General features: G+C 46.8%; 1 annotated feature.

Annotated features, from left to right (window-relative positions):
• Nucleotides 14031-14592: an enhancer, noted in NCBI's record as "H3K27ac-H3K4me1 hESC enhancer chr20:39398981-39399542 (GRCh37/hg19 assembly coordinates)". NCBI's record gives its function as "activates a minimal SCP1, AML or CMV promoter by ChIP-STARR-seq in naive H9 embryonic stem cells {active_cell/tissue: H9 hESC(naive)}" and the evidence as "EXISTENCE:reporter gene assay evidence [ECO:0000049][PMID:30033119]".

Raw genomic sequence — 17657 nt, 5'->3', positions numbered from 1 at the left:
AAAAAATAGTTAGAATGAATGAATGATACCTACTATTTGACAGTACAACAGAGTGACTATAGGCAATAATAATCTAATTGTACATTTTAAAATAATGAAGAGTATAATTAGATTGTTTGTAACACAAGGATAAATGCTTGAGGGAATGGGTACCCCATTTTCCATGACATAATTATTATGCATTGCATGCCTGTATCAAAATATCTCATGTACCCCCTAAATATATACATCTACTATGTATCCACAAAAATAAAGAATAAAAATAAAAAACCCAGGGATAATAAGAACCTGCACATTAAAAACAACATTTCTAGTGTCCACACATTTAAAAAAGTAAGAAGAAACAAGTGAAATTGATTAATCAAATGTGAATATAAATTAGTCTGAATATCATCATTGAAACATGTAATCAGTAAAAAATTCCCAGTGGAGATATTTTGCATTCTTTGTTTTCATACTGAGTGTTCAAAATCCAGGGACCATTTTACTTACAGGGACCCAAAATCCAGGGACATTTACACTTACAGTACCGTTTGATTTAGACTAGGCACATTTCAACGTGCCCAGTTGCTCTGTGTGTCTCATGGACTCGGGATTGGACAGCAACGAGATAGAGTCTAAGTACCTGTGTGTGTACAGGCTATGGTGAAGAGGGAGGGATGCAGGGCGAGGAGAGAGGATATCTAGAAATGAGGCTTCAGAGAGATAGTTTTGCTGTGGGAAACCATTTGGACTTTATCCTGAAGACAATGGAGCAGATGTAGAAGGGTTTTACATAGAGGAGAGTTGTGATCTGGCTCACATTTTAGAAAGATCTTCTGGCTCCCCAAAGAGAGGATATTGGAGGAGGCAAATAAGTTTGAAGGCAGGAAGATTTAACTGGGAGAATTGCTTCCTGGAGAGAAGGGAGGCTTACTGGTTGTGGAGGGAGGTATCTGGATTCTAGACCTGTGAGGGAGGTAGAACCCATAGGACATGTTGGGTGTGGGGGTGTGAGAGGGAGCTGGAGTCACAGATGACACGTTCTGCCCTGTGCAGTGAGGTGGATGGCAGTGCCATTTACTGAAACACAGAACAGGAGGAATGCCCAGGTTTGAGGGAGGAAGATGAGTGGGGCAGTTTAGGACATGGGAGTTCGAGAGTCCTTCACACATCCAAGCAGGGGGGTCCTTCAGGAAAATGCACCTGGAGCTCTGGAGAGAAGCGAGAGTTGGAGACAAGGTTGGGCACCCACTGGTTATGAGGGATCCCAACAATGTCTCTGACTCCAGTGGGCCTTTTGAAGGTTTCTACCTCCTAAGCCTGTCCTGAAAGTTGGTAGTGACAGCAGTGACCTTATGGTGTGTAGCACAGAGTCCTGAACATGCTGGGTGCACTGCAAATGTGAGCTGTCAGATGGTGATGCTGATTGTATGGGGTGCCTCCTGTTCAGGCCCTGCCTCCTAGATGTTTGCTTTCACTCAGCTTGGCCATTTGGCAAGTGAGACAGGTGGTTGGTTTGGGGGAACTGGGGCCTGGAATGAAGGGACCCAAGCTGAGGCTGCCTCTGTCTTGGAACCCAGCAGTGCATTGGCTCCTCCAGCCTGAACATCAGCCTCCTGGCCTACACTTGATTCTTTCACACCTTAGGTCATTCACTGGCTTCCACTCAATTTTATTTCTCCTTGCCCTCAAATCCTTTACTTGTTATTGGGGATGCTCTACTACACTGCCCAGACCCCTCATTCAGGAACGAAGGACTGATTCTACCAGCTGCTGGAAAGTGGTCAGCTGATAGCTCTCAGCTGTCAGCCCTCTGTAGAAATTGCCCTGGCTGAAGACCGTCCTAGCATCCAAGGTCACACTCCTTCCCAGGTCAGCCCACATCCAATGACCGGTCAAGGTAGGGCTATAACAACCTGACCCACTTACCCTAACTTGGGATGGCTTTAACGGATCGTCCAGCTTTAGAGTTCTACTTGGGATCAGCTGTGACTGCCCTGTTGTGACTGCATTGCTGTCTGTCTCTCCCTCTGCCCATTCCTGCTGCCTTTCCCTGTAGATGTGGACCCAAGAGCACTCCCCGATAAACTTGTATTCAAATCTGTATCTCAGGGTCTGTCTCCTCGAGAACTAAGCCTTCGACACTTGACTTTGTCATTAGTTGCAGCCATGAAATTACAGTCTTGGTCAGATGCTATTGGTAAATACTCTCTCTCTCTCTCTCTCCCCCTCCTTCTCCCACTTCCTCTCTTTCTTTTTCTCTGACACACACACACACACACACACACACACACACACGCTCTCACCTAATCTTAGGCATTCACTTATTTGGCCACTAGGTTTCATCTCTGGACATCCCATCACACTGCGCTATTCTTAAATGTATCTCCTTGCTCCCTTCTTCCCACCCCATCTCCGTCTCTTTCTCTCTCTCTCCTTTCCCAAGATTAAGCTACGACCCATAACAAAACAACTCTTAACCTCTAGGTTTTTTTTCCTTTCTCAGAGTTCTGTGCCCCCTGCAAATTGGGCCAGAGTCAGAAGAGAAATCTTGACATTCTCAGCATTGGTCCCCTCATCCGTCTCATCCCCTCCGACGCACCCTGAGCCTGTGAGGTGGAAAGGGCATTTGAGGGCTGTGTCCCTGTAGTCCCTCAAGCCGGGCCTTGGGGGGCGGGCTAAGATTTCTGCAAGGATCTCGAATCTGAAGAGCCTAAGTCGTAGCTCACGTCCCCACTGAACAATGAGGCTTGATGAACGGGGTGTGATGTGCAATTGCTGATGAATATCAAGCTGATTCCCTATGACTCTCAACGTGGTGCATGTGCGAGTGCAAAGCTGTGTTGTCCCGGGAGGGCTCAATATGAGCTCCAAGTTTCCCAACTTCCTGGCCTCAAAATTGATGTGTACAAAGGAAAAAAGGAGAAGATGCAAAACCCGCAAAGCAATATTTCCCAAGGCGAAGCCTGACATTATGACCGCCTCTTTAAGCACTTGTATTGCATATATATATATTTTTTCCCCTCAACTGCATCTTCTGACTGACAAAGCTCTTTCTTGCCAAAAGCGACCGTTATAAAATTATGACTTGCGCATATATAATGTTTGTGTTCAACAAGAAAACAGAAATGCCACCTTATTTTGTGGTTACAGCTGCACAATTCACATCCGGCAAGATTGATCATATTAAGGTTATGCAATCATCTAATTGCAGAGACAAGCCTTGAGTAATAACTCCAAATGCTCGCACTTCAATCTGCACAGCAGAGTCATTGCCGAGTCCTGATTAGCGCCTGACAGCGTTCGGGCACCATTATCCACTCTGGCATTGTCTAAATCTCCATTTCCAGCCGAAGCAATCTACCCACTAACTGATCTATGACAAACAGGCCCATAAGAGCAAAGCTGTTTGGGTTGCAGATACATATCTAACAAAACATGACTCTTTGGGCTGTTTCCAGCTTTTTGTAGCAAAGTTTTCCCCTTTCCCAGGAGAAGGCAGCCTCTTCCTCTCCCATTCCGTTCCCTCCCCTCCTCTCATTGTCAGGAGGCTGCAGATGACTAGACAGGGAATCTGTAAAATCTTTATCAAATTAACTCCTACTTGGATCTCAGATTTTGGCCCCAAGGTCGCTTTCTTAGAAAAGCAGCCTCTACTCACCAGTGATACACAGTATCCCTGTGCTTTTTCTCTGTAACACTTCACATTGTTTGCAACCATGCCTGTAAGTCCTATGGGCTTCACTTTCAAACTATATCCAGAATCCAATCACTTTTCACCACCTTCATCACCAGGGCTCATGCCACCCACGTCTCTCCCCTGTATTATCACATCACTGTCCTCTCTGGCCTCCTAGCTTTCTCCTTTGTCCTCCATCTACTCTACAATCTATTCTCAACTGAGTCACAAAGTACTTTGTAAAAATGTCAATCAGATAACAGCATTCTACTCAAAACTGTAATTCTTCCCTGTCTCGCTCAGAGTAAAAGCTAAAGTCTTTTCAATGGCTTTATAAGGCCCCACATGATCTCACAGTATCCTCTCTCTGGCTGCATTGCCTATCTCTGCATTGCCTAGCTCTTTCTAACCTTCTCATGCTACTCTAGCCATGTTAGTCTCCTTGCTCTTCTTTGAACACGCCAGACACACTCCGGCCTCAGGGCCTTTGGACTTGCTGTTCCCTTTTCCTGGAGCTCTCTTCCTTCAGATAATCTACATGGTTTGCTTCCTTTCTTCCTATGGGTCACTGTTGAAATGTCACTTTAGCAGACACCTTTCCTGGCTACCTTATCCAAATGGTAAACCCTCCCCACCCCAGTACTCCCTGGCTCCCTTACTGTGATCTGTTTCTATAGCAGATACCTTCCTCTAACATACTGTACTTAGTTATTTTGTGTATTGCCTTTTTGTCCTCTCTTGAGTGTAGAGCAGCTCTCTCCAATAGAGCTTTCTATGCTGGTGGAAATGTTTTATATCTGCTTTGTCTAGTATAGTTGTCACTAGCACATGTGGCTATTGAGCACTTGAAATTCAACTAGGGAGACTGAGGAACTGAGTTTTTAATTGGATTTAATTTAGATTTAAATAATCACATGTGGCCAGTGGCTGCCATATTGAATAGCACAGGGCTAGACTCTCTGTTCCACAAGGATGGAGATCTTCTGAAAAGGAGTTTAGAAGCATATGTCATAAGCCTTAAAAATATTCATAGCCTGCCGGGCGCAGTGGCTCATGCCTATAATCCCAGCACTTTGGGAGGCTGAGGCGGGCGGATCACCTGAGGTCAGGAGTTCAAGACCAGCCTGACAAACATGAAGAAACCCTGTCTCTACTAAAAATACAAAATTAGTTGGGCATGGTGGCTCATGCCTGTAATCCCAGCTACTTAGGAGGTTGAGGCAGAAGAATCGCTTGAACTCGGGAGGTGGAGGTTGCGGTGAGCCGAGATCACACCATTGCACTCCAACCTGGGCAACAAGAGCGAAACTCCATCTCAAATAAAAAAAAAAAAAGAAAAAATTCATAGCCTTTGACCCAGTAATCTCAGGAAAAGTTGTGTGTAGAAGAATGTTCACTCCACTGATATGGATAATAGTAAAAAACTGTAAATAATCTAAAAGTCCAGCAACAGGGAATTGAGCAAAGCAAATATAGTGTCCATATGATGGAAATTGAACAACTTCTTAAATGAACACAGATTAATAATTAGTGACATGGGCAAAATGTCTGTGATATCTTATTGAATGAAGAAGCTAAGAAAACTGTGTTTATGTCACAATCCCAATTTTAGGGAAAGTGTATATGATACATATAGTGATTAAAAAAGAAGAAAATCTACAGATGGAATTTCCTGTGATTTTTACTTTCTTTGATGTGTTTTTCTGTGTATTTCACATCTTCTGCAATGAATGTGTATCATCCAATTATCAGAGAAATGAAGTAAACCTAAACTTTTGTTAATAAATAGTTTTCACCCTGTATTTCTGATTGGACATTGCCATTTGTAGCTATAGAGTATGGGAACAAAGCTGATGTGAGCCCTTTGCCCTCCTTTTCAGTGATATAAGTCCTGCCCAGGCTGCTGCTGAGTGTCAACTTCTCTTTTTAAGAGATTCTGTTTCATTGGTTCTTAATTCCTTTTCTGAGCTTTGAGCAACCACAAGAATGTCCTAATTCTTCCCCTTCCCTCCTAGAATGTGGTGCATGGGGAGCTTTGTCCACCTTAGAGACGCACAGTGATCAGTGATCACAGAAACTGCCAGCTTTGGGCTGGAAGACTCTTGAGCAGATGACAATCCCACTGAGCTCAGTGACTAGCTACAGTTTCTTTATGCAAATGTAAGCTCACACAAATATATTCTCACCTCCTTCCCTTTTTACACAAAGAGGTACATACTGCTTACTGTTTTGAACCTTGCTTTTCCTACCTAATGAGCTCAGTGGGGTTGTCATCTGCTCAAGAGTCTAGCACTGCATATCTCCTTCTGAGCTTGGATGACTTTGTTCTGGGCAGAAGCATCTTCTCCCACTCGAAGTCCTGATGGCTCATCTGGACCTACTGAAGCTTTTGGAAAAGTCCTTCCCTGTGTGCACTGTGGCAATGCCATTCCTTGGCCTGGAGACCTTCATGGTTTGGTTCCTACTCAACTCTCCAGCATCATCTCTCACTGCTGCCCATTTGCACATACACAATTCCTTGGGGGTTCCCTCAAAACCTACGTCTGTGCCTTTTCATAACCAGTTCTCCTGCCTGGAATTCCATTTCTGCATTGGCTATTGCCTCTGTTCTCCTGAGAACAATTTCATTTCTAGAGTTACTTTGTAGTTCAATGCAACTTGATAGAGCACTTACCTGTCTCGTGGACTGTGCTTGCAGGGAGCACGAAGGAGAGGAAACAAGCATTTGCTAATTCCTTGCAATGTGTTAGGCACTTGAGAAAAGGCTCACAGTTGATCAGAGGAGACAGACAGGTGAAAGGGTTATTACAATGCAGCATGACAAACATCTTAACTAAAGTATAGACAAGATGATAAGGGAACAGTAATTTCTGCTGGGATGGGATGAGCAATGAGTAGTTTCAGGGAAAAGGTCAAGTTGGACCTTAGAAGGGAGATAATTTTCATTTTAAGTAGCTACCTAGCTATATGATAGTGGACCAAACTCCTTGCCTCTCTGAGCCTCAGTGGCCTTACTTCTAAAATGGACATCATAACTCATGCTCTGGCCACCTCCCCAGGCTGTTTTTATAGAGTCCATAGTATAGAAGGTGCTGCTGATGTCTCTTCCTTGGTATTCTCTGTTCCAGTACATGTGACTCTCTGCCTGAGTGTTGGTGGGTCAGGAGTGCTATAGAGTTAATGAGGATCTTCGGCCAATGATGGATGGGAGTGAGTAAATAAATACCCCAGTTCCCTCTCCCTGTAGATGGAATAACTTGGAGGAGCACATCTATACTGGCTCCTAGAGGTTTCCAGGAAGTTGGAGTCCTACTTACCCAAGGTGGTAACTTTCTCAACCATGCATCCTTGACTGACTTCCTTCCCCTCCCAGTCTCACTTGCCCAGTCCCCTACTGGTGCTTCCTGGGACCACTCCTAAATATACTACTTGCCCTGGAATCCTGTTCTCAGATTCTGCTACTAGGGCACCCAACTGGTTTCCTATGGAAATGTGAGACATTGTTCCCAACCTCTCCCTCTGACATGCCCTGCCCCTCTCACCCTTCCCCTCTCTTTCCCTAATTATACTGTGTTTTCATGCAGGCTTGGGTTCATGATTATGACAAAAAAAAAAAAAGCTTTTGGAGCACAAAACCCACAGACAATAGGAACTCAGAGAACACCTAGGCTCAGCAAAATGCAAAGAAAGGGTGGATTTTATTTTACAGTGTGTGTGGGAGCGATTCTCAGTGGCTGCCACCTAACATCAGTCCATCACCTCATTAGTTCTCCAGCCCTGGGGCATTTGGAGTTGGCTGCAGTGGGGGTGGGGTGGGAGGGTGGGGGTATGATGGGAGCCAGATCCATGTGTCCTTTGTCATAGCCCCAGTTACTTCAGGCTGGGATGAAAAGAAGGTCTATGCATCTGGCCCTGCCCTCCCTGCCCCTCCTCCGTCCCAGGCCAGGATTCCCCTCCTGGGTGGGGCCTTTGGAGAAGGGGCCCAATCTGTGGCTCTCACTCTCTGGCATGGGAAAACTGCTGGCTCAGCCACCCACATCAGCTTCTGCCACTTAGCCAGCTCAGCTCTCGCAGCCAACCTCTCCCAGCCTACTCCCAGGGGCCTAGATCTTTGGAATCAATTAGAATCAACAGGCACTAAGCATCTCCATGGACAGTCGTCGGTTGCCTTACCTCACAGAGTGGAAAGGGTATGATCCGCTTTCTTCCGATGAGGAAACTGAAGTTGGAAAATAGGCATATAAAAATCTTGGCTGGCAGAACTAGCCACCCAGAAACAGTGCCCCCTTGCCAGAGAGGGAGCTGGCAGGACCCAGCTCCGCATCACCTTCCAGCACCCACTTGCTGGAACCTCATTTTCGAGGTGGCAGCAGAACGTGTGGTATTCCCACCAGCACCAACATCTGGGGCAGAGGTGGAGGTGGGGCCTTTATTAAAATGCAGTGACTCCATTGGCACCAAAATAAACGTGACATTTATCAGAACCTGCTAAATCTATTCAGCGCTTGCTTCCTTTGGAAGCGCAGGGTTCATGCCGTGGGCCTGGAGAGAAAAGGTCTTTGCTGGTGAGAAAAATGAGCTGGCAAGATGGGAAGTAGAAAGAGAAGAGGGAACATTGGAAAGGGCAGGCTGAGAGAGGGTAAGCCTCAGCCTTGAGTCACTCTCTTCAATGCCAGTGAATCCTCTGAAAAGGGAAGATAATGATGTTAAGGTAAAAGTCAGTCATGTTGGAGAGGATTTCTGTTGCCTGATAAGGAAATCAAACAAAAGTAATCCACTCAAACCTAAACCAGATTAAACTAACCTTTATGGAGCTCCTAGAATGTTGCTGGCATTTTTACAGATTTCTCACAATAACCTAGCAAATTACTTTTTATCCCTATTCTACATATAGGGAAACTGAGGCACAGAGCTGCTAGGTAAGGCACTCGAGATTACTCAGCTAGTGTGTGGCATTCATGAACTGTGCTCTGCCACACCTGGGTGGGGCAACAATGATCTCATAAGTGTGGTTTGGAAGCAAGCACTTGATTGGAAGAAGAGAGACTGGGGTCTGAGTCCAGACTTACTATTTGGGTTTGGAAAGTCTCTGCTCAGTAAAACATGGTCCTTAAGTTCCCTTGGTTCTGATCACCTTATGCATGAGCATTTGTATGCTCTTGGTCATCGACCATGGAAAAATCCCAAGCCACCATTCCCAGATCTCTTGCCTGGGCCCAGGTCTCTGGAGTGTAATGGGAAGCTGATGATCTGTTTCTACCTAACAAATGGAAGCAGCATAGGGAAGCACTCTGGTTGCCTGGGTTCGAGTCCCAGCTCTGCTGCTTACCAGCTGTGTGACCTTGGGCAAGTTACTTAACCTCTCTGAGACCTTACTTACATACTGTTTTTTGTCATTGTGAGCATTATGAATAATAATCACAGCAAATGTTTATTGAGTGATTATTAAGTGTCAGGCACTATGTCAAGGGCTTTACATGCATGATTTCATCTAATCCTCACAATTACCCTATGAAAAAGTTACTTTCATTTTTCTCATTTTAGAGATGAGGAAACTGAAGCTTAGAAACTATGCTCTTAGATGTGATAGATCATGATTCCCAGAAAGCAGTAGAAAGTTATATTTCTTGCTTCCTTCTGGTCTATGTGTTGCTAATTCCTATGGACCCCCCAAACAGCAGACCCAGGAGAGGAGCCAGGAAATGGGAATAGAGAAAATAAAACAACTTCATCTCAGGGAGGAAGTTATTTTATTTTTCTTTTTAAAGACCTGATGCCCTGCCAGACCAGAGCTAGCTAAAGCTGTTATTTCAGAGGGGCTCCTTCTCAGGACACCTCAGACTACTCTGGCACATTTTGGGAACCTTTTTTCCTGGGTCCACTGGGGGCTTCAGGTGGGTGGATGAGCATACAGTTTGCCTAAAGAATAGTTGCTTGGTCCTGTGAGCCTTGCTGTGAAGCTGTCTCTTAACCAGGCATCTGAGAGACAGTTTATAGAGAGGAGTTCATGATTACGATTAGAACCTGAATTACCAACCCTTATGGGCTACTCCATGCCTGGCACCACACTAGAAGTCTTTGCTTAGTGATATCATTATCTTCCCCATTTTTCAGAAGTGGAGACTGAGGCTCGATTACCCCATCTGCAATGGGCTGAGAGCAAGAGTGTAATCAATGACCTTGTCCTCTCTTTCCTCCTTGCCAGCGTCCTTTCTTATCCTAAATGGTTAACAGTGAGTAGATTAAAAACAAGTGTTAAGTGCAATCATCGCAGGACAGTTAATACATAATTGCGTATTTTTGTAAACAAGCTTAGAAGCTTTTTCATTGACCTCTCTGTGGCCCTGTGGTTTTGCAGATAAATTCTCTTCCCTTTTACACTCTGATTTTAGTTGGGAGCAATGGCTATGCCGCTATCATTCTTGCAGCCCCTACTCTCTCAGGGCTGTTCCTGGTGAGTGTGTGTCCTGGCACAAGCTCACCCAGTCATGCGATGTGTGTATGTGCCCGTGGGCCTCTCTGTGGCCATGGCAGAGTTAACACACTGCAAATTCAGACAGATTCTGCTGAGAACTTCTGGGTGAGGGTAGGGATCCCCTTGGGTGTAGGGAATAGCTCATGTTGGAAGAAGTAAAGAATTGGGAGTTTCCCTTCATGGAGGCTGATATGGTTTTGCTTTGTGTCCCCACCCAAATCTCATCTCAAATTGTAATCCCCATGTGTTGAGGGAGGGACTTGGTGGTAGGTGATTGGATCGTGGAGGTGGTTTCCCCCAAGATGTTCTTGTGATAGTGAGTTCTCACGAGATCTGGTTGTTTGATAAGTGTCTGATGGTTCCTCCTTTGTTCTCTCCCCTGTCACCTAGTGAAGAAGATTTCTGCTTCCCCTTCTGCCGTGATTGTAAGTTTCCTGAGGCCTCCTCAGCCATGAGGGACTATGAGTCCATTAAACCTCTTTCCTTTCTAAATTACCCAGTCTGAGGCTTTTTTTTTTTTAATAGCAGTGTGAAAACGTACTAATACAGGGATCATTCATTCATTCTACAAATATTTGTTTATTGAGAACCTTCATGTGCCAGGTTCCCTGGGGAAATAGCCCTGAACAAGGCAGATCTGGTTACAGACTGGCCAGGAATTGTTCTCAAACTATATTTAGTATTTCAGCAAGTCGCCATCAGGCCACCCAAGTTACCTAAAGCACGGAGCTTTGCTTGAAGGGGAAATTATACCAGCGTGGTGGGGTCACCCTACTGGCCAGAAAACTCTGGATGATTATGAATATTCACAAATGGAAATGAATGAATGATTACTTAAAATATTTAGGGTGTTGTTAGATAAACTCTTTTGAAATATGGGTACCTTGGTGGAGGTCTGCAATGGGTTCAGTTTTCACCATAGGGGATCCTGGTGTCCACCTTCCTCCTGTTGTTTTCCCCAGACTATATGCTTCCTGGCAGGCCTGTGGTGGGGGCTAGGCCTCCTCAAATGTTCCTGCTGCTGCTGCTGTTAGCAGTAGGCAGTGAGAGGTAGGGGGCTCTTGGGCCAAAGCTGTCCCTGATTCAGAAGCCTGTTCCACTCTCATTCCATTGCAGGTTCTGACTCCCCTGGCTTCATCCTCCAGTCCCACTGCCCTGTTTTCCTGTCTTCTTCCACGTTGCTGGACCCTGGATCTAGGCCACATTGAAGCCACTGCACCCCCTCCCTCAGTTATATTTGGGTTCTTTGCTATGTTACAAACGAGGTCCTCAGTTGGGAGCTCAGTGAGGTTGGCCTCACCTCTGCAGCCCCCTCCCACCAGTGCTGCAAACTCCTCAGACACTGCGGACAGGGAGAGGAAGCCTAAGGACCAGCATTCTCCCAGCCCTGTCTCTAATCTGCTGCATGCTGAACCAAGTAGAAACCTACCCCAGGAGACGAAGGATGCAGTGTGCTGGGTGCCAGTTGGGCAGGTGAATAATTGCAGGCCTGGTTGGGTGGTGGCTTGGCCCAGGTGTCTTAAGAGATCAGGGCAGGGCTGGGTTCCATGGCTGCCAACTGCATCCTGAAAGACTGAGGATCTTCCTGGACTCAACAAAAGGCCTTATCTCATCCCAGGATATGGGGCAGCAAGGCTGAGGCATGAGCTCTGACTTTGGGATCTACAGGTGAGCATTAAGAGTCCCAGTTCTAGTGCCCATTGGTCCCTGTCCCTGCAAGTCAATTTGCTCTTCTTTGAAGAGAAATGCACCCCCTATTTAAATCACAGAGTCATGGATGAGGAATTTGGGGGTAAACTGTGGAGGGCTGTGTGCACATGAGGGAGTAGTGTGTCATTACGGTCATGTGGTAGAATAGGTGAGCTCTGGAGTCACATTGCCTAGGTTTAAACCCTGGTTCCACTACTACTGTATGACTGTAGATGAGTGACTTAACCTCTCTGTGCCTCAATTTCTCATCTGTGCAATAGGGATAATGATGGTCTCTAATTTATAGGGTAGTTGTGAGGATGAAAAGACTTGAGTTAATTCATGTAAAATGCTGAACACAGTGCCTGGTGCATAGTGTTTAGGAAATAATGAAGATGGTGGTGGTGATGGTGGGCTGGTGGTGATGTTGATGATGAAACAAAGAGAGTATATAGATATAGACCCTGATGTCTTTGTTAGTGGTGAAGGGCACTTAACCATTCCAAATCTCCTCCCTGCATCTTTGGCTTTCACCTGACTCTGGCCAGGTGGGCAGCTCATTGGGAAGTGAATGACAAGCCTTACCCCATAATGGATGGCTTTGGGGAGGCAGCGCCAGGCAGGTCCCAGCCAAAGGAGATGTGAGGAGGACCATGCTCCTTGGGGCCTGTTTTCCCTGGATTCTCTGCTGGGTCAGTGGCTGGTACTGAGCCTGTGACCTGTGCTGAGACCCTCAGAGAGGCCACTCTGCCTTTCAGAACCAGCACAAAGCTCCCTGTGCAGGTACCAAGCTGTGATAATTGGGGCATCATGGAGCCAAATAAGAAGAGCTTAGGCTTAATCGAGAATTCTTCTGCGTACTTGATAATGAAGAGTTGATCTGGGCTGACATCTGGGGAAGGGTTCAGAGTGCTTTTGATTATGAAGTTTTTTTTTTTTCTGAGATGGTGTCTCGCTCTGTTGCCAGGCTGGAGTGCAGTGGTGTGATCTCAGCTCACTGCAACCTCTGCCTCCCAGGTTCAAGCGATTCTCCTTTGTGTTTTAAGTGGCAGAGGAAGAGCCTCTGGACTCCTCAAAGCAAATCCTCTGTGGTGTGCACTCTTTTCCATGAGGCCTCATTTCCTGAGGAAATGCCTCCCAGTTCCATCTCTGGCCAGAGAGTGGCTGCCAGATTCCCGGGCTTGGGTGACAAGAATAAGACAGCGGTCTTGGAGAAAGAAGGGACTGGTTGGGGGTCCTGGAGGGAGGAGGGAAGGACCCATTTTAAGTTCCAGGGACCACTGGACTATTCCATTCCCTTTAGATGGGCTCCCTTTGGCCTGCTCCAGTTTGGGCTGGGTTTCCCCGCATCTCATCATTCCCTGGGTGGTAGGCACCTGCCACTCCCTAAAGACAAAACAATGAACCATCGTGAGAGCCCCAGCTCACTTGCTTTGAGGGCTTTGTAGGGGATGGGGACTGTGTCCCAGGCTCTACCAACATTATCACTTCATTGACATACCGTTCATCTGCCAGCCTTTTGCCAGTTTGGCTTGAGTCATAAGAAGGTATTAATTACCCTGGGGTGTGGAAGCCAGAATTTCTGCCCAAGCAAGAGGGGGTAGTGTTGTCCAGGACTGGAATGCCCATCCTGATAAATCCCTCTGCCCCCATCTTCCCTTCCTCTTGTGCCTGTAACTGTCCATCCAGACCTCTCCTTTTCGTGGAGTCTCGCTTGGCCCCAATGTCTCTGCCCTTCTATGTCTATTCCTGTCTATGGGCTCTCTGCTTCGTCTCTGTCCTGACTTTGGTCATCAGACTTTTCCCCCTGCTGTCAGTTCCTCCCCTCGGGTTCTCTGCAGGGACAGGAGGCACTTGGTCTGCTGAGATCAGCAAACGCCTCATACTCCGTCCACAAAACACCAACTGTGGTTCCTCTCTCCCCCCTCGGAGGCCTCCAATTGCCTCATGTCAGTTCCTGAGTCCTCAGCCCCATCCAGGTTTCCTGAGAAAGTTGGTGTTGTGGTGGTCCTGGCGGGTGGGTTGGGCAGTGGCTGGGCTGGATTCTTATGGGAAAGCGAGTGTGTGTGTTCTCAGCCTGTGGTGACACAGCCCCCACCTCTCATGGGCCCTGCTGCCTACTCAGCCTCCCTGGCCACAGACCACCTGGGTCGCCCCACGTGGAGAGAAGTCAGGACCTGAGAGTGAGGGAAGGGAAGGGCTGTGGTCCATGGAGGGGCACTGGAGTGAAAACCACGCATTTCCTCCTGGAATGTCCTTTCCTGGGCTCCCAGCTTGGCCCAGGACGCAGGGAGGGGTGAGAATCAGTGCCTGGGCTTCCTCCATGGAGCAGAGAGAGCAACACTTGGCACCGATCACTGCCCTGGCTGTGTGTCCCCTGGTCACTTCCCTCGCCTCTTTGAGGCTCCTGCCCTGAGCTGCAACAGTGGTGGGAAAATACTGGAAATGTGATTCTTTTTCTTTCGTGTGCTCTCTGAGCACAAGCTGTGGTGTTAGGTAGGTGTGCAAGAAGGGGCAGCCTCCAATTTCTTATCTTGCTTTGCTCCTTCCTTCCTTCGCATCAAATTATTATCATCAAGAAGCTCCTGGGTCCCAGGCCTTCCTTCTAACACATGCAACACAGGGGAACTGTGCCACACGAGTAAGACAAATCCTGGCCTTCCAGGAGGTCTTGGTTAATATAAACACAACGACAACAACAACAACAACAACCAAAAATGTCAGAAATGTAGAATCTCAGGCCTTGTGGCAGACTTACTAAATGAGAATCTGCATTTAAATAAGATCCCTGGGTAATTCAAATGACAGTAAACTTCAGGTCTTGGTGTCTAGTTCTGGTCCTAGTTTCAACCTGGCTTCACTACTTACCAGCTGGATGATTCGGGGCAAACTTCTCTGGGTCTCGATTTCCTAGTCTGTAAAATGAGGAGGATAATAAAAATGTATGCCCTGCAGTCATTGTGAGAATTACATAAGACACTGTCCTGAAAGCAGAAGCTGGGAACCCCAGGAAACAGCCAGTCAATGTGAATGTGACCAGAGGTTGTAGCTGTGTGTGGTTTCTGCAGCCCTCTGGCCTTATGGATTTCTACTGATCTTTAAGAAGGACTGAGTCTCTCACTCACATATGGCAGTAGTCCCAGAAGGGGTGAGGTTCACAGTTCCTAGAGCCAGTGTTCCTGAGTTCAAATCCAGTGTTTGCTTTTTACTGCTGGGTGACCTTAGGCAGGTCACTCTCCTGAGCCTTTGTTTGCCTACCTGTAAAATGGGGCTGTTGTGAGGTTTGCCTGAGCTAGTATAGGCACTGAGAACTCATAGTTAGTGAGTGCTGGCAACAGGTTTCTTACAATCCTTGCTTCTCTTAGTCACCTCTAGCTCCTGTTTCCTGATTTTTCTGATTTCTCACCTTTATTCCTCTTCCCTTTGTCCTGGCCAATCCCTGATGTCCCCAAAGCAGAGGGTGATCAAATGTCCAGATATGCCAGGGATGGTCATGGCTTATGCATGTTGTCCCATTGTATTATCTCCCCTCTCACTTTCTGAAGTGTTCCAGTTAGGTGACCCTATCAAAGCCCCCCTCATGAAGGGCAGTTGTGTTTGCAACAGTTCTTAAAAAAAGGTTTATTGAAATTAATGAACTTAGAACAAATTGCACATATTTGAAGTGTATACTTTGAAAAATTTTGACAGATATTCGCTTGTGAAACTGTCACCACAATCAAATAATGAATACATCTATCACCTCCCAAGTTTGGGAGGACTTTTAATAGAGACCCAGGTGCAGTGTGGCGGGTCACACAATGGGGCCAGCCCAGCTCAGTTGGTAGCACCATGCTCTCAGGAGGTCTAAGGCCTTCCCAGCCCAGGGAATTCTCAGCTTGGCCATCTCATTCTCCTTCTCCAAACATCTAAAAATACCCATGCAGCTCTTCCTTTCTTTCCCAGACAGTGGTTCTCAAACTTCTGTGTCCATGACAGTCATCAGCACTGTTTGTCAAACATGCAGATTACTGGACCCCACCTTGCAGAATCAGACTCTCTGGGAGTGAATCTGTGACACTTTATTTCTCACGAACATCTCAGGTGACTGATGTGAATATCAAGCACATCCTAGCTATGTCCCCCTTCCTATTTATTTATTTATGTATTTATTTAAGATGGAGTCTTGCTCTGTCGCCCAGGCTAGAGTACACTGGCACAATCTCGGCTCATTGCAATCTCTGCCTCCCAGGTTCAAATGATTCTCCTGCCTCAGCCTCCCAAGTAGCTGAGACTACAGGTGCGTGCCACCATGTCCAGCTAATTTTTGTATTTTTAGTGGAGATGGGGTTTCGTCATATTGACCAGGCTGGTCTCGAACTCTTGACTTCAGGTGATCCACCCACCTCGGCATCCCAAAGTGCTGGGATTACAGGCTTGGGCCATGGCGCCTGGCCCCTTTTATTTAAAATAACCTAAATAGTGATGGATTGATAGTTGCAGCAAACCACCATGGCATGTGTTTACCTATGTAACAAATCTGCACATACTGCACATGTACTCCAGAACTTAAAAAAAAAAACTAAATAATTCATCAGAGTGTTATGCTAAAAAAAGAAAAGGTTTCTCCTTAGTGGAATGTATCAGTTAGCTTGTGCTGCAAAACAAAGCACCTAAATGGGAATGGAATGTCAGAGATGGCCCCTCATTCTCCATGCCCTCTCTCCACGAGGTCTCCCATCGTCCAGGCATCCAGTCCAAGTTCTTTGCAGTACAGCATCTGGCTTACCAGGGAGCAAAAGCCAAAGCTGCTGGGCTTCTGAAAGGCTAACCTGGAGTGGGAACACTGCAACTTTCACCTCATCATGTTGATCAAAACAGTGTCTGAGGAGCAACCCAGAGTCAAGGGGAGGGAAAACAGACATGCTTTCTTGATGGGAGGTGCAGCAGGTGTGTGCAGGGATGGAATTGTTGGCAGACACAGTGCCGCAGAGGAATTCTGCTACCAGCTGTTGAACTACAGTTCTCCTCCTTCACTAGAGTAACTGTTATCAGTATTATTCATAGTAGTGTCTGGGCTATATAGAAGGGACTATAATAGAAGGCAGGCATTGCTACTTCTGTCTGGGGAAGGAGAGGATGGCTCCACTGCGTAGGTTAAATGAGAAGTGACTATGTGTGGAAAGTGAGGGGAACGGAATCCAGGAAGAGGGACTGGCCAGAGCAAAGGCCTGGGGGCCTGAGATTATACGCATGTAAGACAGCAGGGAATAAAAAGGCCACTCAAGGAGGCCTTTCAGGCTTCCTGGTGTCTGCAGGCCTGAGGTTCCAGGGATGACCAGGGTGGAGAGGGTCTGCAGGGGCGTGCCAGCACTGTCCCCCATCACTGTACCTCAGCACAGACAGAGAGAGAGAAGCCTGAGGTTCCCACCAGGAGAGGCCAAAGGGCGGGGGTCTCAGGCATGAGAGGGTGGGACCAACAGGTTTCTGGGGAGCATGTCTAAGCCATCACTCTTGAACTGTTCAGGGCAAGGCAGCTTCGTTTTCAATAGCATTCTCCTCACTTTCATTTGTGAGACCAATTACAGAGCATTTTGCACCACAATTACTGCCGTTAAAACCTCTCAGTTCCATTTGGTGAATTTTAGTAGTAATTGAACAGAAGAAGCCATCACACAGGAGGCTGTCCTATTGAATCTGCCCAAGCACTGAACTGTGAATTCCAGTCCTCCCAAAGCAGTCACATGGGGCCCAGGTGGAAGGTGCCTGCTTCCCTCCCCTGGGGATTTTGCCCTGGCCCATGTGAGAGATCAGCTATACATGGAAGGGTGATGGGAAGTGCCTCCAGCCAGG

The sequence above is a fragment of the Homo sapiens genome, chromosome 20 (genome assembly GCF_000001405.40).
Source record: "Homo sapiens chromosome 20, GRCh38.p14 Primary Assembly".
Taxonomy (NCBI): domain Eukaryota; kingdom Metazoa; phylum Chordata; class Mammalia; order Primates; family Hominidae; genus Homo; species Homo sapiens.
Note: the sequence above shows the minus strand (reverse complement) of the source record. Positions and strands in the feature narration are given on the sequence as shown.